Source organism: Homo sapiens, chromosome 3 (assembly GCF_000001405.40).
Source record: "Homo sapiens chromosome 3, GRCh38.p14 Primary Assembly".
Lineage (NCBI taxonomy): Eukaryota > Metazoa > Chordata > Mammalia > Primates > Hominidae > Homo > Homo sapiens.
Window position 1 is genome coordinate 160435111 of NC_000003.12, and position 22298 is coordinate 160457408.

A 22298-nucleotide genomic window follows, 5' to 3' on the forward strand; every position below is an offset into this window, starting at 1 on the left:
GATTTTTTTTTTTTTTTTGAAAGTCTCACTGCATCACCCAGGGTGGAGTGCTGTGGCAAGATCTTGGCTCACTGCAACCCTGCCTCACGGGTTCAAGCGATTCAAGTGCCTCAGCCACATGAGTAGCTGGGACTACAGGTGCACACCACAGTGCCCAGCTAATTTTTGTGTTTTTGGTAGACAGGGTTTTGCCATGTTGGCCAAGCTGGTCTCAAACTCCTGGCCTCAAGTGATCTGCCTGCCTCAGCCTCCCAAAGTGCTGGACTATAGGCATGAGCCACTGCACCCAGCCTGCAGTACTAAGTTTCAAAGAATTAGAAGTACCCAGAACCCATGTGAAAATCCCATAGCTACCACTCCTGAGTATGGAAGTCTCATTAAGACAGTGCAAATAAAATATCAAAAGAAGTTTATTAAAATACATATTTTGTTATACATAAAACTTAGAAATATTTCAAGATTTACATACATCAACTTTTGCAATCTTCCTGCTGGTAAAAATACAAAACAGCAGCATAAGAACCAGTTACTCATATACTCAACTATATTCATGCATACTTAACAAAATGAAAAGTTCTCCTAAAAACTGGCAAGATACAAAATGTCAAATCTAAAATGATATATATACTTACGTTTTTAGCATTCTTACAGATTACAAACCCTTACCAACATTAATCTTGGCCTACTTTAAAGTTGAGTGATAGCATGAACTCTGAAAAGAGAATGCATGGGTTTTCTCACAGCTATATGGCCTTGGACAAGTCACTTGTCAGTTCCCTCATCTACAAAAAGGGGGTTAAAAATATTCACATCACAGAAATGAGATTAAGTAGTTTAACACATAATGGCTAACATTTCATTGCTTACGTGTTTTTGAAACTACAGGGCACTTTTATGGTGTGACTAGTATTTTAAGTAATCAGTGCAACTTAGTATTTTTATCTCTAGCTGAGTATGTGTCTCTCCTTACCTCTACTATGCCCTTTAAATGTTCTTTGCCCACACAATAGTTAATTGTGCTAGGTATAAGTCTGATTCTAATAATAAATTGATATAATACAGTCATCTTAGTGTTAAGACTTATTCTCAGCAGGTAAGAGTTTTAGAACTAGTTCCCTGAAAAAGCTGTATTTATGATAGTTTATGTGCAATCTGTAGGGCCAGGAGCATAGTCTAATCTGACCCAGAATGTCTTTTTGATTTGATATAGGTAAGGCTCTTCGGTGATCCAAGAGCAGCCCCTTTGGGATTTCTGGAAAGCAAATCAACCTGCACTTAGAGTTGCATGGACAGTGGGCCAAAAGTCGTAACACATGCATCATAACTCCAGTCCCTGTTAAAGGGAACTAAAGGGCTTTGATTTAATTGGCCCTCTTAAGCAAAGCTAATAAAAGATTAAGTTGTTGGGCCGGGCGTGGCGGCTCACGCCTATAATCCCAGCATTTTGGGAGGCTGAGGCGAGTGGATCATGAGGTCAGGAGATAGAGACCATCCTGGCTAACACAGTGAAACCCCATCTCTACTAAAAATACAGAAAATTAGCTGGGCGTGGTAGCAGATGCCTGTAGTCCCAGCTACTCGGGAGGCTGAGGCAGGAGAATGGTGTGAACCCGGGAGGCGGGGCTTGCAATGAGCCGAGATCACGCCACTGCACTCCAGCCTGGGCGACAGAGCAAGACTCCGTCTCAAAAAAAAAAAAAAAAAAAAAAAAAAAAGATTAAGTTGTTGGTACTTTTGCATTAGCTTAAGGGAATGTGGTAGAAAATTTAAATGAGTTAAGATGAATAAAGTCCACATGATGCCATCAAAACCTGTTGCAGACCAAGTTACCAACATGATTCTGTTCTAATAAGAATGAGTTTTTAATCCAAGAACTGATTTGACTGACGAGCAGAAAAAAAAACAATCTTAAATTTGCACAAACTATAGAATATGACAAGTATTAGAAAATGCTGGCCCCCAGGCACAGTGTGGCTAACGTCTGTAATCCCAGCACTTTGGGAGGCCAAGGTGGGCAGATCTCTTGAGCCCAGAAGTTTGAGACCAACCTGGGCAATATGGCAAAACCTCGTTTCTACAAAAAACAATTTTTTTAATTAGCCAGGCATGGGGGTGTGTGCCTTGTCCCAGCTGCTCCAGAGGCAGAGGCGGGAGGATCGATTGAGCCTGGGTGGTCGAAACTGCAGTGAGTCATGACCAGACAACTACACTCCAGCCTGGGCAACAAGGTGAGACCCAGTCTCAAAAATTTCTTTTAAAAAGCCACTTTACTCTAACAGTTATCCAAAAGCAATAGTTTTATTTGGAGTGAATGGTGATAAGCATTTAGGGCTCTTAAATCTATCTCAAACACAGGTATGTTTGATCAAAAGATCTTTAAGCCATGCCTTATCACTTTAAGACTTTGTTGCTTGATTTTGAAACCTTTCTATCATCCTTATTCACCCATTCAAAAGCTTCAAGCCACATCAAAATAAAGGTATATGTTCTTTCAGGATTTTGCTATATATATAAAGAACTGTAAAGCCAATTAACTGCAGTATATAATAATGGTAAAAGACAATATTGGTACAAGAATGTTTAAATGTCACAGCAACATTATGTCAACCATCATAAAGCCAATAAAAATGGGATAGTGTATTACTTTTCAAATTGTTACTAGATTCTGTTTCCCAAAGATTTGACTATTTCAGATATAACTTTGACATATCATTGCTAACCAAAAGAAGCAACAAATATAAACATTTGTTTATATTAGTTGCAGCACTAATAAAGCTTAGTTTGCTCTTTATCCATGCTACCCCATTTTTTGTTTAGCAATGTACAGAATAAGCCCATTTAAACAATTCAGGTTGACATTTTCAATGGGAAACTATTTTCCACACAAATTCCTTCAACAAATAGAAAATGTGACACAGTATATTCTTTACCTTATGCAGACTGTTAGATAAACTTTGGTAAACAGATAGAGAGGCTTCAGAAAACCATATTAAAGTGATTTCACTTAAAAAGGTTATGATGTGTTGGTTGAAAAAGAGTATCGACATCAGTATTACTGAAATTAATGTAACTACAACAATGTTTAAAATTTTTAAAAATTCAACTTCCTTTTCATCCTTACCAGGCCAGGAACATGACATCCTTTTTGGAGAAATTTTCATTTTGGGAATGAGAACGTTCTTAATTTGTCCAATTTCTGTTCTGCTCCATTCTTCTTTCAATATTTTGCTTACTCGAGGATAAATTTCAACGGGTTGAACCTCAGGAAGTGGTCTTTGTTTCAAGATCTGTACATGCTGGCGTACATCATCAACTTTTTCAAGAAATTTAAGTGGAGACTCTTCTTGTAAAGATATTGTCAGTGCCATTAATTCAAGCTGCTGCTCTCGTATTTCCTTCATTCTTTCAATTTGTGGAGTATATTCTTGATTAATTAGATTGCCAACATCACAGAGAGCCGTTAGGAAACTTTTTTTTTTCTGTTCTAATGTATCATTAAGCTCCTTAAAATACTGGAGAACAGCTTCCTTATCGCCTTGGATCATTTTCTCAGAATGAGATTTTTGTTCTTTCAGCTTTTCAATAAGATGGGTAAGATCTGTCCAGTGTGTGTCAGTCAACTGTTCAAGCAGTTTTTGAGGAGTGTCCTTTTCTTTCAAATAGGCACTTTGAAGGTCATCTATAGGATGACCATGATGTTGACCTATGGTAAGGCAATGACCACAAACTAATTTTTTATCTAATAGACAGTAAACATTTAATGGTTGCCTGTAATGTTCAGGGCAGGTGACAATATCTGGATGGTCTTCTTGCTGGTACTTTTCAATAATAGCCCTTAGTGCAAAATTAACAGGTAAAGATTCAATGCCAGTTGGAGCAATTTCAGTAATACTTCTGCAATTAGGGCACTTGAGTGGAATTCGTAAAGGTCTCCATATATAAAAGTTACCAGATGCCTGAAGAATGTTTTCCAAACAATTTCTACAAAATGTATGAGAGCATGGCAGTACACGAGGATCTTCAAAAATACTATAACATATGGGACAAGTTAACTCTTCCTCAAAATTGTGCATTTCCTGTCAAGAGAAAAATGTATTTTAAGTTTACATAGAGACACCTGTACATATTATTTAACATTCTAGGCATTAACCTCCAAATTGTTACCATACTGCTTGTCATTTAAAAGAGAACAAGGTATTTTTAAAATGAAGTTTTCTGAGTAATTCATTTCCTAGTATATATAGTGAATAACTGATCACAATTAAGAGTTTATTCCTTAGGGACCAAAATCATCCCAAACAAAGCAATTATCATTAATTTGTAGTAAAATGCTTCAAATTTAAGTTATTTAAATTTGTTGCTATGTGATATGGTTTGGCTGTGTCTCCACCCAAATCTCATCTTGAATTGTAGCTCCCATAATTCCCACATGTTGTGGGAGGGACTCAGCGGTAGATAACTTTAGTCATGGGGGCAGTTCCCCCATACTGTTCTTGTAGTATCACGAGATCTGATGGTTTTGTAAGAGGAAACCCCTTTTGCTTCACTCATTCTCTTTTCTTGTCTGCCGCCATGTGAGACGTGCCTTTCACCTTCTGCCATGATTGTGAGGTCTCCCCAGCCATGTGGAACTGTGAGTCCATTAAACCTCTTTTTCCTTATAAATTACCCAGTCTCAGGTATGTCTTTATCAGCAGCATGAAAACAGACTAATACACTACATAATAAAGACTAAAATTCAAAGTGTTCTGTTAAAGTCTACTTAGTGATTACAACTATTTTGTGCAACATTTTAACATTTAAGATGATAAAATCAAAACCAAGCACATATAATGAGTAGACAAGACTATTTCTATTACAACAAGTTAGGCTTAGCAAAAGTATATTCTTTAACACAAAAGGAGGAAACATGTCCCAGTTGGCTCAATAATGGTTTCTAAAGCAAGCTATCAAATTTCTCCACAGTAACTGTTACTACCATAAATTTTTTAGCTTCTCAAATTAGAATACAAGAACGCTTAAACCCCAGGATCAGCATAGTATAATTCTCTAAAGCAATAATTTTAACTTGCAGATTTAGAAGACAGAAAAATTTTGAATTAATTCTTATAATAAAAATCAGTTTGAAAGATAAGAGTTGACTATAGTAACTGTGAATTAATTTTTAAGTGAAAAACTAGAGCACTAAATGGTAAAGAACAAAAAGAAGACCATTAGTCATCTTTCCTTCATGAAAGTCTCTCGATCCGTATTTCTCTGAGACAGAAAAAGAAACGTAGCGATAGTTCAGAGACCATCTCTGACACAAGTAACTTGACCTCTTGGCAAGCTACTACTGATATTTCCAGTAACAGAAGCCTGACCATTTTGCACCCTACCACCTCCTACTGCTTTCCTTTATACCTACCCTCAATGCATCAGCCACAATTCTAAAGACTAGCTTACCCCTTGATAGAGAAAAATCAAGTTATACCACTGTTGAAAGTACCTTAGGCAAAACTTAAAAACCCAAGTGCCATGGCCAGGCGCAGTGGTTCACGCATATAATCCCAGCACTTTGGGAGGCCGAGGCGGGCGGATCACCTGAGGTTGGGAGTTTGAGACCAGCCTGACCAACATGGAGAAACTCCATCTCTACTAAAAATACAAAATTAGCCCAGTGTGGTGTCAAATGCGTGTAATCCCAGCTACTTGGGAGGCTGAGACAGGAGAATTGCTTGAACTCAGTAGGTGGCGGTTGCAGTGAGCCAAGATTACACCACCGCACTCATCTGGACAACAAGAGCGAAACTCCGTCTCAAAAAAAATAAACACCCAAGTGCCATTCACGTAAAATATAAAGGTTACCAAATCACATGCTATAAAACTAACTTTTAAGATTAAAAATCTGTGAAAACAGCAACTAAAAGTAACTAACTGCATTTTTAATAAAATGCAAACTTGGCTCCTTATCTTTACGATCTGTCAAACTCTTAACTCTTCCTTCAAGGCTCAACTTGAGCCTGCCTTTTCCCCAGATTAGGTCCCCTGTTATTCTCATTAAACACTGCATTTTTACTTCATAGCACTTTAACAAGATTTTATTTAAGAATTTTGTAACTTTTCTGTATACATTAGAATGTAGGCCTCCTATAAGGGCAGGAATTGTGTCTAAACAATGGTTATATTCCTGCAATTTAGGCACAAATTTTAACACTGCAGGCATTCACTTGTTACTGCTTCAATGAACAAATGCCTTTTCAGAGACCTGTGTTAATACAGATTTTTGTTTTGGGGTTTTTTGTTTTTTGTTTTTTTAATAGCAAAATCTCTGCTTAGGAAAAGGTGTAAAACGAAAATCTATCAGAAAATACTCCATTCAGGCCAGGTGCGGGGGCTCACGCCTGTAATCTCCGCACTTTGGGAGGCCGAGGTGGGTGAATCATGAGGTCAGGTGATTGAGACCATCCTGCCTAACAGGGTGAAACCCCGTCTCTACTAAAAATACAAAAAAATTAGCCAGGTGTGGTGGTGGGCGCCTGTAGTCCCAGCCACTTGGGAGGCTAAGGCAGGAGAATGGCGTCAACCCGGGAGGCAGAGCTTGCAGTGAGCCAAGTTCACACCACTGCACACCAGCCTGGGCAACAGAGTGAGACTCCATCTCAAAAAAAAAAAAAAAAAAAGAAAAAAGAAAAAAAGCACTCCATTCAAACTGACAATATTCAGATCCCGAATGAGCCAAAGTGTGTCACACAGAGACTAAGCTTGAACTGTAGAGCATTCCAGCAAATTAAAGTAATTGAGCAACAGTAAAGAAGATGACATTCACTGCAGATAAATTCAAGTGAGTGCATGCTGGCAAGACTTTACAACTTTACCCTACACCTACAGAAAGCTATGAAGTCATACAGAAACCACCCAAGAAAAACAAATGTGTTTTTCAGAGTATTTCAGTGATGTCAGAATTCACATTGAAGGAATAAACAGAATAACACTTTGTAGGAAATAAAATTTGAGCAGTCGACGTACATTTAATCTAGATTTAATATTACTGGAGCTATTCAATTGTTTAAGTAGCAAAACTAGTCCTAAAACAGAATCTAACTTTTCTATCCAAACCCCTATTCTATGCTTGCAGAAAACTAGGGAACAACTCTGAGAATGCACTTAGGGGCCCAAAAGCTCAACTTTCTTTAGAATGAGAATATTCATGACATTGTAAAGCATATCCTAAGCTTATATAAAATGGAAGCAGGCCAAAGCAGGTGGATCACTTGAGGCAAGGAGTTTGAGACCAGCCTGGCCAACATGGTGAAACCCTGTATCTACTAAAAATACAAAAATTAGCCAGGCATGGTGGCGCACACCTGTAATCCCTATAATCCCAGCTACTCGGGAAGCTGAGGCATGAAATGGCGCAACTGCACTCCAGCCAGGGCAACAGAGCAAGACTCTGTCTCAAAAAAAGGAAAAAAAAAAAATAGGAAGCAAAAATCGTGGTTGGTCTCAAAGTTACTGCTATCATATGTAAAATTTTTAATAATACTTTTTAGACAAAAATTTGTGGATAACTTGAAGTTCACAGAAGTCAAAATCTATTCTCAGACTACCCTTTTCTCACTGATTTATTGATTAAAAACTAATTTTAGGCAACAAATTCAAGAGAAACTAGAACTGAAAAATAACTTTGTAAGGTCAGGAACTTTCTGACTCTGGTTGCTGCCTGAGAAGTAAACTATATAGGTGGGCCAGGTGCAGTGGTTCACACCTGTAATTCCAGCACTTTGGGAGGCCAAGGTGGGAAGATCACTTGAAGCCAGGAGTTCAAGACCAACCTGGGCAACACCAAGAGACCCCCATTCTCTACAAAAAATTAAACATTAGTCAGGCACAGTGATACACGCCTATAATCCCAGCTACGCGGGGAGCTGAGGCAGGAGGATCACTTGAGCCCAAGAAGTTGAGGCTGCAGTGAGCCACGACTGTGCCACTGCACTCCAGCCTAGGCAACAGAGCAAGACCCTGCCTTTTTTAGAAAAAAAAAAGATACAGGTGGCTACCATGCTTACAGGCTAGTTCTTTCAGAAACCAATATGAAATTTTATGCAGCAGAAATTTTCCACAACCAGTCTAGGCTTCTGAAAGGAAGAAAAAGAACAAAAAATTAACCTATGTATATTTTCTAGGATGAACATCTTGGATTTAGCTATGCTGTATGTAGGTTTCCAAACAGTAAAAACATCAGTAACACTGGAAACAATAAGACAATGGAGTAATGCCTTTGATATTCTCAGGGGAAAAAAAATGGCTTCTGAAATGGAAATTAAAACTCTATACCTAGAAAAAAAATAATCCATTTTTATATAAAGACAGTTGGACAATATAAGATCTCAAAAATGAACAACCTTCTTCCAACTCTTTCTAAAGAAGCTACTGCAGGGAGAAAAGAAAAGCAAGAATGTTCGCCAGCATAATGGCGAAATGAAGTCCAGGACAACTGTGAAAGCCTAGGGAAGAGTCACTCTAGAAGAGGAAGAAAGATCCAAAAGACAGATCTTTTTTTTTTTGAAACAGAGTCTCGCTCTGTCGCCCAGGCTGGAGTGCAGTGGCCGCTATCTCCTCTCACTGCAAGCTCCGCCTCCTGGGTTCATGCCATTCTCCTGCCTCAGCTTCCCGAGCAGCTAGGACTACAGGCGCCCGCCACCACGCCCAGCTAATTTTTTTGTATTTTTAGTAGAGATGGGGTTTCACCATGATAGCCAGGTTGGTCTCAATCTCCTGACCTCATGATCCACCTGCCTCGACCTCCCAAAGTGCTGTGATTTCAGGCATGCAGAAGACAGATCTTTAAGTAAATAAATGGAACTGACAGAAATGCTTCATGTATATGAAACATATTGAGAGGTAACTAAATTTAGGGAAAAAACGTGATAGAATCATGAAAAGAGAGGAAATATTAATATTATAGTATATGGCTCAGCTGTCACTGTAACAGTCATAATATTGTAAATATCAAATACTGATTTTACCAAAGAGTAACAAAATTATATTGAGGGGGAAAATAAGGGAAGGAAACAGTTTAAGAACTAAATCTTAATTTTTCCTTATAAGAAAGTCAATACATACTTAAAAAATAACCCACAAAAAATAAATATCTAGAAATATAAAAGAAAATACCAAAAGAAATGTTAAAGCAGATAAAAGTGATGGCTTCTAGAGGGAAAGAATCTGTTTTTCATTATAAATCATGGTTTCGCTTTTAACTATTAAGCAATTAAAAATATAATACAATTTTAAAGAAATAAGAACAATTCTACAAGTATCCACACAGAAAAGAAGGATGAAAAAAGGAAAACTAAACCAAAGGTCTCAGAATCCTCCTCTGGGAGACTGGAATTTCCAAAATTGGAATGGCCACAATAATTATCTCCCACATGAGCTGTCCTATAATGTGACTTTGCTGCTACTCCCTGCACATGGAGATGAAATCTATTCTCCCCCATTAGAATATGTGTGGGCCATGTGACTGTTCTGACCAATAGGATACAGTATAAGTGATGTGGTGAGTTCTAGGTATAGCCCTTAACTAGTTTGGCAGGTTGCTGCCTCGGAGCCACAAACTGCTATGTAAGAAGTCCAGGCTACTTTGCTGAAGAGACAGGCCAAATAGAAGGGCAAGGAGTTTCCAGACACATGAGTGAAAAAGACATCTTGAATATCTGGCCAGCCAAGCTTTCAGATGTTTGTTACACAGCAGGAAATAACCAGAACATCACCAGCAACAAGGAATGCTAGAACAGAATGTAGCAATGTCCACAAAGACTAGAAGGAAAGGGATATGAGCTGAGAATTCTGTACACAGCCACGACATAATTTATTCATGTGAAACAACAGAAATACTCTTCAGTAAAATCTACAGAGCTAAAAAAAAATTACATGGGCAGAGCTGACACCATACACTTTACTTACCAAACCAAAAGGAATATAAAATAATTCAACTAAAAAAAAAAAAGAGGAAAAGTGGAAAAAAAAGAATAAAAATTGGCCTGGTGTAATGGCTCATACCTGTAATCCCAGCACTGTGGAAGGCCAAGGTGGGAGGATCACTTGAGCCCAGCAATTCGAGACCAGCCCTGGCAACACAGTGAAACCCCATCTCTACAAAAAATAAAAAACTTAGCTAAGTATGGTGGCGCACGCCTGTTAGTCCCAGCTACTCAGGAGGCTGAGGAGGGAGGATTGCTTGAGCCTGGGAGGTCCAGGCTGCAATGAGCCATGAGCCACGGTCGTTCCACTGCATTCCAGCCTAGACTACAGAGCCACACTTTGTCTCAAAAAATAAAAAAAGAATAAAGATAAATGGAAGATGATAATGAACTAGAAAACTTAAATTGCTAGAACTGGCTGGGCACTGTGGCTCACACCTGCAATCCCAGCACCTTGGGAGGCCGAGACAGGCGGACCACCTGAAGTCAGGAGTTCAAGACCAGCCTAGCCAACATGACAAAACCCCATCTCTACTAAAAATACAAAAATTAGCTGGGCAGGGTGACAGACGCCTATAATCCCAGCTACTCGGGAGGCTGAGGCAGGAGAATCGCTTAAACCTGGGAGGCGGAGATTGCAGTGAGCTGAGATCATGCCACTGCACTCCAGTCTGGGTGACAGAGCAAGACTCTGTCTCAAAAAAAAAAAAAAAAAAAAATTGCTAGAACTGATAAACCCAAGAGATGGCTCTTTTTGAGACTGAGTCTTGCTCTGTCACCAGGGCTGGAATGCAGTGGTGTGACCATGGCTCACTGCAGCCTCAACTTCCCAGGCTCAAACAATCCTCCCAGCTCAGCCTCCCAAGTAGCTGATAGGTGCATGTTAACACACATGCCTAATGTTTTTATGCTTTGTAGAGATAGGGTCTCACTACGTTGCCCAGGCTGGTCTCAAACCCCTAGCCTCAAGACATCCTTCCCCCCTCAGCCTCCCAAAGTGCTGAGATTACAGCTGTGAGCCACCATGACCAGTCTAAGAATTGGTTCTTTAAGTAAATAAACAAGCCATTAGCTATCTGTGATAGGTAGCCTCTAAAATGGCCCCCAATGACCTACACTTTCTGGATACTCTTGAAATCTCCTCTCCCTTGAGTGTGGACTAGGCCCTACTCAACTGTTCCAGAATACAAATATGAAAAGTTTGCTAAATATTTTGAAGACAGTATAACATGATTCCAAAACCTGAGACAATACAAACTAAAAATGGACTAATTTCAAAAATGGACACTGATGTAAAATTCTAAATACAATGTTAGCAAAAACAAACACAGGAGTACATTAAAAAAAACACTGTACCATGACTAAATAAGGTTCTTTCCAGAAATACAAAGTTAATTCAATAACGAAAAATCTATTAATATAATTCAGTCAATTAGTTCAATGGAAAAAAAATTTACATTCACATTATATGTGAAAAAAGCATATAATATATATAATATCAAAACCAATAAGCAGTCCTCAAAGACAGAAAGTAGAATGGTAGTTGCCAGGGCTTGAGAGCAGGGAAGATGTAGAGTTATCATTTAATGCAGGGGTCCTCAACCCTTCCTACCCACCCTGCGCCCCCACCATGGTGGCGGGCAAGCCCACCTGAGCTCCGCCTCGAGCCCACCTGAGCTCCGCCTCCTGCCAGTGTCAGCATTAGATTCTCATAACAGCGTGAACCCTACTGTGAACTGCGCACGCGAGGGATCTAGGTTGTGGCTCACTGTGAGAATCTAACTAATGCCTGATGATGTGCGGTAGAACAGTTTTATCCCAAAACCATGCACCACCCACCCCCACCCGTCCACAGAAAAATTGCCTTCCACAAGACCGGTCCCTGGTGCCAAAAAGGTTGAGGACTGCTGGTTTAATGGGTACACAGTTTCAGTTTGGGAAGATGAAAAAGTTAACGGAGATAGTTGATGGTGATAATTACAAAACAATTTGAATGTATTTAATACCACCAAACTGCATACTTAAAAAGATTAAAATGGTAAATTTTATGTTTAGCATATTTTACACAATAAAAAAAAAACTTTAAAAAATTTTCAAGCGTCTTGCCTATTATCCAGTCTTCCTTTTGCTAAATGAATTTGAATCAATTTATACTACTGTATGTTTTTAAAAAGCAAAAAAGTAAAATAATCCATGTAAAATGTATTTTCCTCTAGTGAGTACTAAGCTCATGTAAAAACCAAGTTCAAGATTTCCTGCTTCTCTTTTAAAACCGAGAAATATTAATATAAAAAAATGAATCTTCTCAGAAAGAAACCTGAGGCTAAATCACTCTACTTACAAATTATTTCACTAATGTCTAGTGTGTTTAAGTGTCAAAACAAATACATTTCTGAATTTCCAAACTTTTTATTAAGTCTTTCTCCAGAGGGCCAATTCACTAGTGAGCCTCCCTGATGTCTAACTGGCATATTAGGTAATAGACAGTATAATAGATGATTAAATAGCACCGAAAATATCATTACCCATTCTCCTGTGTAAACCAGTTTTTAAGTTTTAATTCACTAATGCTTTCCTGCCTTTCAACTCTAAACATGAACAGTTGTAAAACGTTCATTACATTTCACAACCTCTGAAAGGAAAATATATTTATTACATTATAGAATTCGATGACTTGTCCCAAGACTTCTAGTGAGTCAGCTTTAAGTATGGGAAAATTCAAGTGGTGCCACCACCCAAACTGGGGCTCACATCTTTGTGGACCTAACTGATAAAGAAGAAATACATTTCATGCAAGTCAAGACTTACTTAAGAAATAACTACAACTGCACCATTTATAAACATATATAAGATTTTTTTAACATTATCGCAGAAAGTCTGAGAAACAAGATTTTTAAAAATAATTCTGTCACATATAAATATACAAAAATAGTGAGAGATCACCTTAACTTTTTCAAATTAAAAAAATCCTATGGTCAGCTGATTTTAAATCTCTTTGTCCATCTGTACTATTTTCTTTCATTTTGATATCAACCTGTTTCCCTAAACTAAAAAATAAAAATAAAAACTAGAAACAAAACAAAAAAAGACTATTAATTCAATTTAACCGGAATTGACTTGAGAAATTAAGGCTTTAATTGCTTTTGCTGTACTTTTCAAAGTAAAAATATATCTGGTGGGAAATATTCATCAACGTGTTTAGTGAAAGGCAATGTCAAAACTAACATCACCTAAAATCAAAATTTCACCTTGCCAGATTAAATAGCTACTTACTCATTTAAAAAGACCAATACATGAATGCATAGTGAAAAAGTATCCAGGTAACTTAATTTGCAGTTTTGTGTAGTTCTGCAGATCTGTATGTATAAAATAACAACTTTGCATGTGTTTTGAGATGTACACATTCTTGTAAAATTTCTAGAAGGATGTACAAAAGAGTTAAGTGACTACTTTTAAGGTACAGATCAGAGAAGGGAGTTGTTTATTTTTCACTTTATGCTCCGCTCCTTCGATAAAATGGTTGGAGTTTTATACACCGCCAACACAATGTTTTTTCAAAAGACTTCTAAATTTCACTTTGTAGTTTAAATCATACACTCTGTAAAAACTTAATTGTTTTTCATATTTATTTAATCTCCCAGATTACCTACTTTGTTGATCTCGTGGTTTGGGGGCTGAATACACTCTTCTCCAACTCCTCCAGAATCTTTTATTCTTATTCTAAAATTAAAATAATGTTATCTTTAATGTTTTCAATTTATTGTCTCATGTCATAAAAATGGTTGTTAGTTCACTGTCTTTGATATTTATCTTCACGATGCTTCATCGTGTTTTCAGAAAAGCCACAAACACCAACACAGTTGCTGGAGCTGCAGTAGAGGTATCGCTTGTTCCTTGAAAATCCTAACTCTGACCAAACAGACTGTCACAAAGGACCTCTTTTCACAACGTCAAGTAGCTTATGAGCTCTCGACAATATTACCCAACAATGGTGATGGCAGAAAAAACATTCACGGTCATTTTAGAGTGCTTAAAATTAACTGCAAGACAAAAGCATCCATGGGAGTAAAATACCTTGCCAGCTCTAAATTATAACTGATTTAGTATAGTTTGCTCATCTCTCTGTTCTGCCATTTCAATGCTGTGGGACCTGGGTCAGTATTACCAAATACCTCTCAAAAGTGAGGCTTCACATCTGTAAAATGGGTAACTGCACCTACCTCACTTAAGTCCTGCGAGCACCTCCCACAAAGGGGCTCAAAATGGCAGTACTCTTCCCTTCCCCTTCTCAAAGCTCCACTCTCCCAGGCCTCCCTCCTAACGCGCCTCCACCTCGGCACCCGCCCGTCCCCAACCCCGCGGGACTGACCGACTCGGCGGCGTCCGCTCAGCTCACCCTCGCCACCACAGAGGGCCTCCTCCCTCACAGGAACGCAGCTCCACAGTGGAGGGACGGGAAAGTGGCTCCCCAAACTCCAGTATGGGACAAGAGGGAATGAGTGCAGGTCCCAAGCCACTCCCTCCATCGTCGCGCCCCCAGGACTCCCCGCCCAACACACTAGGCACACCAGACTGTGCTACAGGAAAAGAAAAAGGACTCAGAACCACCTTCTCCGCATCCGTAAAGGTCCTTAGACTCACCGCGGGGAGGAAGCGGACCAGGCAACTCCACAGCACGGAAACACAGCGCCACGAGCTCCAGGCGGATGCTGAGAGCCGCCCCGAGTCCCCGCCCTCCTCTGCCCCGAAGGGCTTCAGGTGCCCAGACCGGGCGGGGCCTCGCGGAGCCTCGCAGCGCAGGCGCAGTCTGCAGGCAACATTCAACTGCAAGGCATCGGCCAATGGGAACTATTGCTGGGCTCGTTCGAAAGTAAACGGTGGACGGCGCGGCCCGAGGCAGGTGGCGGGAGTCAGTTTAAGGCTGGCGCCCAGCTTTCCGCGCCTGCGTGCTAGGCGCAGGCCGCCTCTCGGAAGCTTGGCCTCGCAGGAGCGGCTCTCTATCCTGTGGGGAGCTTCGGCCAGTGGGCCTCGTGAGCTGGGGTCCCGCCTGGGGAATCCGCATGGCACCGGTGGTCTGGGGGAGAGGCTGGGCCTGGCGCGGGACGAGGCGAAGCGCCGGTGGCCGACGGCTTCTGAGGAATTATCTTTTACTTGGCGCCACACGGGGCGGGGCCTCCTGCTATGCTGTGGAGCGCAGTGTCTTCCATCGTTGCCTCACAGACCCGCTGCTCCGGGAAGTCGCCACACATTCTCAGGGAACACCCACATCTGTCGCCTGCGCCCTCCGCCGCTCAGCTGTTTGCTTTTGTTTACGCATTCCGGAGACCTGACCCACCGGAGCACTGGGCTGAGCACAGGAGAAGGGGCTTTGGAGCGCTCTTTGTACTCAACTCCAAGAGCGAGTGGGAAACTCAGGACTGGGTTGGGTAGATCCCTGCGTCTCTCCCTAGCCTTCGTCCTCTTCCCCCGTTTTTCCACTTTATGAAAGTATTGCCTAGAGATGAGGGCTGTCCAACTCAACACTTCCAACTTCAAGTTCCTACTTCACCTCTAACTCCCTAGAGTTAGAAAACAACGTACAGCTTAGAGGTTCCTTTCCCTTTTTTTCTTGAGAAACTTTATTCAGCTTTATCTCAAGACATCACCGCTTCCCTCTCCTGTCAACCTTAAATAGTGAGGTTCTGGAAATATGATTAAGGATAGAGTTTATTCCAGCGTAAGGCTTGAGGGTAGCCACCCAGGAGACACCAGCTCCAAATGGGGTTAGCATTCCAAAGTGAAGAAGTTAGGGTTTCGCCTAGGTGGCCAGAGACAAATTTTAACAGGATTTCATTTCCCCTAAGAGACCAGTGCATACTTACAGCTATTTGGTAGGTTACAGATTACTACATTCCAAGAAAAAGTATTTTGTTACTCCATGAGGGGGGGTAGTGATCTCAGGGGGTTGTATCTCTGGTATGGTTTGGTCCTCCTATTTTAATTATTTATAGAAACAAAAGGCAGACGTTGCAGATGCCTGCTGCTTGACTCAGGCTGTAGCCACATTCCTCCCAAGGCTCGGAATAAAGTTCCAACAGCTTTAAGTTTGAATTATTTAACTTCCAATAACTATAAAGTCATTTTGTTTACTAATGTGCTAAATAAAGATATGGGCTCTAGGCCAGGTGCAGTGGCCCAGGCCTGTAATCCCAGCACTTTCTGGAGGCCAAGGCAGGTGGATCACCTGAGGTCAGGAGTTCGAGACCAGCCTGGCCAACATGGTGAAACCCCGTCTCTACTAAAAATACAAAAATTAGCCGGGCATGGTGGCAGGCACCTGTCATTCCAGCTAGTTGGGAGGCTGGGGCAGGAGAATCGCTTGAACCCGGGAGGCGGAGGTTGCAGTGAGCCAAAATGGCACCACTGCATTCCAGAAAAAAAAAAAAGCTATGAGCTCTATATACTGCACATTGCAGTACATCCAGGTCCTAGGCTTTTATTCAGTAAATTACAGAAAATATTAAAGATATAAAGCAGAAAGTAAGGCAATATTAGGCCTTAGTCAATCTCAGATAGCTTCACCAATTCAGCTCCTTAAAAGGTTGCTTATGAAGTGTGAATTGTAGTGGTAGCTACTGTTTCATGGTGGTAAATATTCGTTTTGACTTTATGTACATTTTCTATTAAACATTGGAGTCATCCTGATAGACATCTTTGTAACTTCCTGTCAAAACAACATGTGGGACAGGCGTGGTGGCTCATGTGTGTAATTCCAGCACTTTGGGAGGCCAAAGTGGAAGAACTGCTTGAGCCCGGGAATTTGAGAGCAGTCTGGGCCACAAAGTGAGAACCCAGCTCTACAAAAAATAAAATAATTAGCCGGAGTGGTGGCTCACACCTGTAGTCCCAGCTACTTGGAAGACTGAGGCAGGAAGATTGCTTGAGCCCAGGAAATCAGGGCCACAGTGAGTTATGATCACACCACTGCACTCCAGCCTGGGCAGCTGAGTGAGACCCTGTCTCAAAAACAAACAAAAAAACCCAACGTATTATGAATTATTTTTCCATAGCAGTAAATGTACTATATTTCTATTAAATTATTGTCTTTAAACAAAGTTTAATTGCTTCTGGAATTGAATTAATATGGCTGAAAATGTTTCTGAGCTTTAATGTTTTTCACCTGTTTTCCCCTCTGTGCTTTCTTACCTCAAAACGGTTATGTATGTAGCAAGAAAACTGAAGAACCTCACACTAGACTTACTGGCTGTTGTTTCCCAAAAAGCCTGAGCCCATGGAGAAAAATAATATTTGAGAGACCCCGCCTGCTGGGGCGCAGGCGGCAGCGGCGTGGCCATGAAGCTGAAGGTGAAGAACGTGTTTCTCGCCTACTTCCTGGTGTCGATCGCCGGCCTCCTCTACGCGCTGGCCAGCCATGTGACTGCCTTCCTCCCCTGCGGGCAGCAGCTGAGCAGCTACGGCAGAAGGATCTGAGGATTTCCCAGCTGCAAGCGGAACTCCGACGGCCACCCCCTGCCCCTGCCCAGCCCCCTGAACCCGAGGCCCTGCCTACTATCTATGTTGTTACCCCCACCTATGCCAGGCTGGTACAGAAGGCAGAGTTGGTACGGCTGTCCCAGACACTGAGCCTGGTGCCCCGGCTGCATTGACTGCTGGTGGAGGATGCTGAGGGTCCCACCCCGCTGGTCTCAGGGCTGCTGGCTGCCTCTGGCCTCCTCTTCACACACCTGGTGGTCCTCACGCCCAAAGCCCAGCGGCTTCGGGAGGGCAAGCCTGGCTGGGTTCATCCCCATGGTGTCGAGCAGCGGAACAAGGCCCTGGACTGGCTCCGGGGCAGAGGGAGTGCTGTGGGTGGGAAGAAGGACCCATCACCACCAGGGACCCAAGGAGTCGTGTACTTTGCTGACAGTGGCAACACCTACAGCTGGGAGCTGTTTGAGGAGATGCGCTGGACCCGTGGTGTCTCAGTGTGGCCTGTGGGGCTGGTGGGTGGCCTGCGAGTCAAGGGCCCTCAGGTACAGGACAGCCGGGTAGTGGGCTTCCACACAGCATGGGAGCCCAACGGGCCCTTCCCTGTGGATATGGCCGGATTTGCTGTGGCCCTGCCCTTGCTGTTAGCTAAGCCCAATGCCCAGTTTGATTCCACTGCTCCCCGGAGCCACCTGGAGAGCAGTCTTCTAAGCCACCTTGTGGATCCCAAGGACCTGGAGCCACGGGCTGCCAACTGCACTCGGGTACTGGTGTGACATACACGGACAGCGAAGCCCAAGATGAAGCAGAAGGAGCAGCTGCAGCGGCAGGGCCAGGGCTCAGACCCAGCAATTGAGGTGTGATGGCGGCCCCACCCCAACTACCACCTCTTTTCAGGCACAGACCTTGTGGGACTGGGCCCCAGGCCTGCCCAGCATGTGGTTTTCCAAGTCCTGACCGCTTGAAGCCAGAAGTGGCCCCTCTGCCCCTCCAGACCCAGGGCATGGTCCTGCTGCTTCATCTCTCCCCCAGCCTGCCATGTGGCACTGCCCACAGGCTGGGGACAAGCAGCCCTTGTATTGAGCCAGGTTGGCCCTGTCTAGGGTGGAACAGAAGGACAGACGGACCCAGGAGGGAGGGCAGCTGATTAACTGGGTAACTTATTGGGGCTGGGCAAGCACTGGGGGGCTGGAGGAGCTGGGCTGGACCCTCCCTACCTGAGCATGCTGACCCCCTTCCTACCTCCAGAATAAAGAATCTCAACCTGAAAAAAAAGAAAAAATATTTGAAGGAAGAGGCCGAATGCTTGAGAGAAGCAGAAAGAATTGTTTGCCCCTAAAATAGAGATGATTCGGGTCCTAGTGGGGGAAAACTATGACACCAAAAGGGAAGGGTTATATTGGTGCCTCCAGGGAGTCTGCTTTAGAGGCCCATGGGTTCCCAACCCTGCCAAAGATTCAAGATTTCTGTAGTCCAGCAATAATTTGGGGGTTGAGGAGGCTGGGATGGTGTGGAGAACCACAGGAGCCTACAAAAACAATGGTGGCCTCAGTGGTGGCAGGCAACTTGACATATTTGGTTTTGTGGACTGTGATTAACATACTCTATAAAAGATAATGTTTTTCTGGGAAGGTGGGACAGGAGAACTAATACTCAAATGCAGGAGTACATGCTTCAAATCCATAAGCCTAAAACTCAGGTGATAAGTTGCTCAGCCACCCAAAAAAATGGTGGGGAAGAGGACAGTTGAGCTGCTTGGGCGGAGGGTGGGGGGTGTCTCTCTCTTTTTTTTTTTTTTGGAAGATGGAGTCTTGCTCTGTTGCCCAGGCTGGAGTGCAGTGGCGCGATCTCGGCTCACTACAACTTCTGCCTCCCAGGTTTAAGCGATTCTCCTGCCTCAGCCTCCCAAGTAGCTGGGATTACAGGCATGTACCACTGTGTCCCACTAATTTTTGTATTTTTAGTAGAGATGGGGTTTCACCATGTTGACCAGACTGGTCTTGAACTCCTGACCTCAAGTGATCCACCCACCTTGGCCTCCCAAAGTGCTGGGATTACAGGCTTGAGCCACCGCACCCAGCCTTACTTCCAGTAATCTTTTGATAGAATATTGGAAAGAGATAAAAGATGATAAACATTTGCAGTTATTACCAGGTGTGGAAGAGGAGGCAATATAACATTAATTTTATGACAACCAGGCCGAGCGCGGTGGCTCATGCCTGTAATCCCTGCACTTTGGGAAACGGAGGCAGGCGGATCAGTTGAGTTCAGGAGTTTTGAGACCAGCCATGGGCAACATGGCGATACCGCATCTCTGCAAAGAATTTTTTTTTTTAATTATGACATCCTTTTGGTGCTCAGGTCAGACTTTTTGCTTCTAGGCATCTTCTGTCTCAGTTGCTAAAACAGGAGGCATCAGTAACAGAGAAGTGCCCTATAGGCAAGCTAAAACTCTTTGATTAGGGGTATTAATAGCTACAGAGTTTAAATACTCCACTCTTGTCTCCCATCACATTAGCCTCAGCAGAATTCTAATAAAGAGAACATGTGATTTTCCAAAGTTAGAAAGCTCCTGTGTTTCATTTCTAGGACTTCACAGAAAATGCACAGCTCTCATCTGGAGCCTGGAGTGCAAAGAAAACAGCAGCAGCTGGCACCGTAATTATAGTGGGAGTGAATCTGTGACAATGAGCTAGGAGAATCTACCTGACAGTTCACAGAAGGTCATTTTATCTGGAAAAAAGCACACAGCTATATGATGCAGTGGAGTTTATAGACTCAGAAACCTGAAGTTTGGGGGTATTTTGGAGGCAATGTAGAACCTCATTTTTAGAGGAGAGAAACCTATCAACCATGTTGGTGTTGCTTTCAACTGAGTTTGAGCTCGTTTGCATATTACTACCTAAAAATATATAAACTACACAATTTTAAAAACTGGAACATAAACAGAATTTGTTTTCACACAGCCCTTTTCAGCTGTATCTCTGAATGCACCTTGGAAGACTCCAAAGATGTGTCTGTCCTGTAGCAGTTTACCTTGTAACTAGTTTTCCTTTTCTTTATTATCATAGAGTCTTTTTTATTTCAAATGCCACTGACTTTTTTGCCACCAACTTTTTTAAGTACTCAGTTTTATGGGTGGCTGTAACCTTAAGTAAATTTGGGGATCTCTTTATGTAGGCACTTAATATCCAATTTTCTAGACTATTTTGTAATGGTTATGCATGCATCTATTTTTTAAAAATGATCCAAACATTTTGAATTTCAAGAATTTTTTCTGATAAATGATTTGTAGAATTTTTATTTTGATACAGCCTTGTGTGATTCTCTAGTCCATTTCATCAAACCAGTATCTGTTAGTTGCCTTCTAAAATACACAGCATTACAGAGGCAAAGAATACAGTCCTGTACTCAAGTTGCTTATCTAAGTGAGCTAACATACAGATCTAGTTAAATGACAATATCAGATAAACTGCAGATTAAAGTGTACCTCCAACTGGGACAAGCAGCCCAGGCCGTATGCCACTGAGTTTCCGAGATTTCTGGTGACTGATGACCAGAAGTCGGAGCTGTACCTGGATGATCTTCACCTGTTCTGAGATCCATAGAGGGATTTCCAGAATAGATACAAATCACACTGGCTGCCCACCTCACAATTAGGCCCCTATTCATCATGTCTGTGCTATATCACCTTTTCAGGTGATAATCTCTGTCTCCTGTAATTCAGAATGGTTGGATTTGAGGCAGCAAGACAAGTCTGGGATTGGGTAATGTCTTCCTAATGCTGGTTGGCATTATAGCTGAAAAGTCAAGAAACATATATCTTTTAAGTTTTCTAGACTTGAAAGAATAAAACACCCCTGTAATTTAAATCCTCTACTGAGACACTGCCCTGTTGTCTTTTAAAGGAGAAACACTAGGACTTTTCTAGTTACAAAAACCCTCTTACAGTATATACATGTCACTCTGTATGTTCAGAATGGCAAATCCCAAATATGTGTGTGTGCTAAGGACTTGAAATAGTTCATGTGGATGATTACTTATACTGTTAACCCTTGAACAAGACAGGTTTGAACTGCAAGGGCCCATTTATGGGTGGATTTTTAAAAATAAATATATTAGAAAATATCATGGAGATTTGGACAATTTGAAAAAACTCACAGATGAACCGTGTAGCCTAGAAATATCAAAAAAAAGGTATGTCATGAATGCATAAAATATAGGTAGATGCTAGTTTATCATTTACTACCATAAAATATACACAAACCTTTTATAAAAAGTTAAAATTTACCAAAACTTACACACACAGACTGTACATAGCACCATTCAAAGTTGAGAGAAGTATAAACAAACATAAAGATGCAATGTTAAATCATAACTGCATAAAATGAACTACAGCACATACCGTCCTACTGTAGTAATTTCATAGCCCCTTCTGTTGCTGTTGCAGTTGCAGTGAGCTCATGTTGTATCTGCTTAAAACACTGTGTGACCTTAATCTTCTCCCCATGAGCAGTTCATCTCCCTAGTAAATCGCTTATTGTGGTAAAAAGTGATCTCTCACCGTTCTCATGTATTTTTCATTGTGTTTAGTGCAATACTGTGAACCTTGAATAACACCATGGGACCCATAGAGTGTCACTAATGATGCTGGAAGTGCTCCCGAGAAGCAGAGAAAAGTCATGATGTTACAAGAAAAAGTTGAATTGCTTGATACGTACCATAGAGTAAAGTCTGCAGCTGAGATTGCCCACCATTTCAAGTTAAATAAATCCAGCATAAAGACCACTATAGAAAAAAAAAGGAGGCCGGACGTGGTGGCTCACACCTGTAATCCCAGCACTTTGGGAACACCAAGGCAGGCAG

General features: G+C 41.8%; 1 protein-coding gene, 1 long non-coding RNA gene and 1 pseudogene across 4 annotated transcripts in view, besides 3 other annotated features; 1 reads left to right on the forward strand and 2 right to left on the reverse strand.

Annotated features, from left to right (window-relative positions):
* The window catches only part of TRIM59-IFT80 (TRIM59-IFT80 readthrough (NMD candidate)), a 258294-nt gene that overhangs the window by 207657 nt on the left and 28339 nt on the right, over positions 1-22298 (reverse strand). The window contains exons 1-3 of one of the 3 annotated variants that reach the window (NR_148401.1): positions 14607-14728; positions 13616-13685; positions 3122-4076 (exon numbers count right to left, since the gene is read on the reverse strand). This is a non-coding gene — a long non-coding RNA (TRIM59-IFT80 readthrough (NMD candidate)). Of the gene's footprint in view, positions 1-3121; positions 4077-13615; positions 13686-14606; positions 14729-22298 lie in introns of those variants that run through there. The other 2 variants (NR_148402.1, NR_148403.1) reach the window with 2 other exon arrangements.
* Positions 393-14676, reverse strand: TRIM59 (tripartite motif containing 59). The gene is made up of 3 exons (NM_173084.3): positions 14607-14676; positions 13616-13685; positions 393-4076 (listed from the first exon to the last, which is right to left on the reverse strand). The coding sequence occupies exon 3, from the start codon at positions 4071-4073 to the stop codon at positions 2862-2864; it is 1212 nt and encodes a 403-aa protein (NP_775107.1). The 5' UTR covers positions 4074-4076; positions 13616-13685; positions 14607-14676; the 3' UTR covers positions 393-2861.
* Positions 13812-14332: an enhancer, noted in NCBI's record as "NANOG-H3K27ac-H3K4me1 hESC enhancer chr3:160166710-160167230 (GRCh37/hg19 assembly coordinates)". NCBI's record gives its function as "activates a minimal SCP1, AML or CMV promoter by ChIP-STARR-seq in naive H9 embryonic stem cells {active_cell/tissue: H9 hESC(naive)}" and the evidence as "EXISTENCE:reporter gene assay evidence [ECO:0000049][PMID:30033119]".
* Positions 14327-14566: an enhancer, noted in NCBI's record as "active region_20758". NCBI's record gives its function as "activates an Ori minimal core promoter by ATAC-STARR-seq in GM12878 lymphoblastoid cells {active_cell/tissue: GM12878}" and the evidence as "EXISTENCE:reporter gene assay evidence [ECO:0000049][PMID:35858748]".
* Positions 14852-15371: an enhancer, noted in NCBI's record as "NANOG-H3K27ac-H3K4me1 hESC enhancer chr3:160167750-160168269 (GRCh37/hg19 assembly coordinates)". NCBI's record gives its function as "activates a minimal SCP1, AML or CMV promoter by ChIP-STARR-seq in naive and primed H9 embryonic stem cells {active_cell/tissue: H9 hESC(naive and primed)}" and the evidence as "EXISTENCE:reporter gene assay evidence [ECO:0000049][PMID:30033119]".
* On the forward strand, positions 17258-18699 carry B3GAT3P1 (beta-1,3-glucuronyltransferase 3 pseudogene 1; annotated as a pseudogene).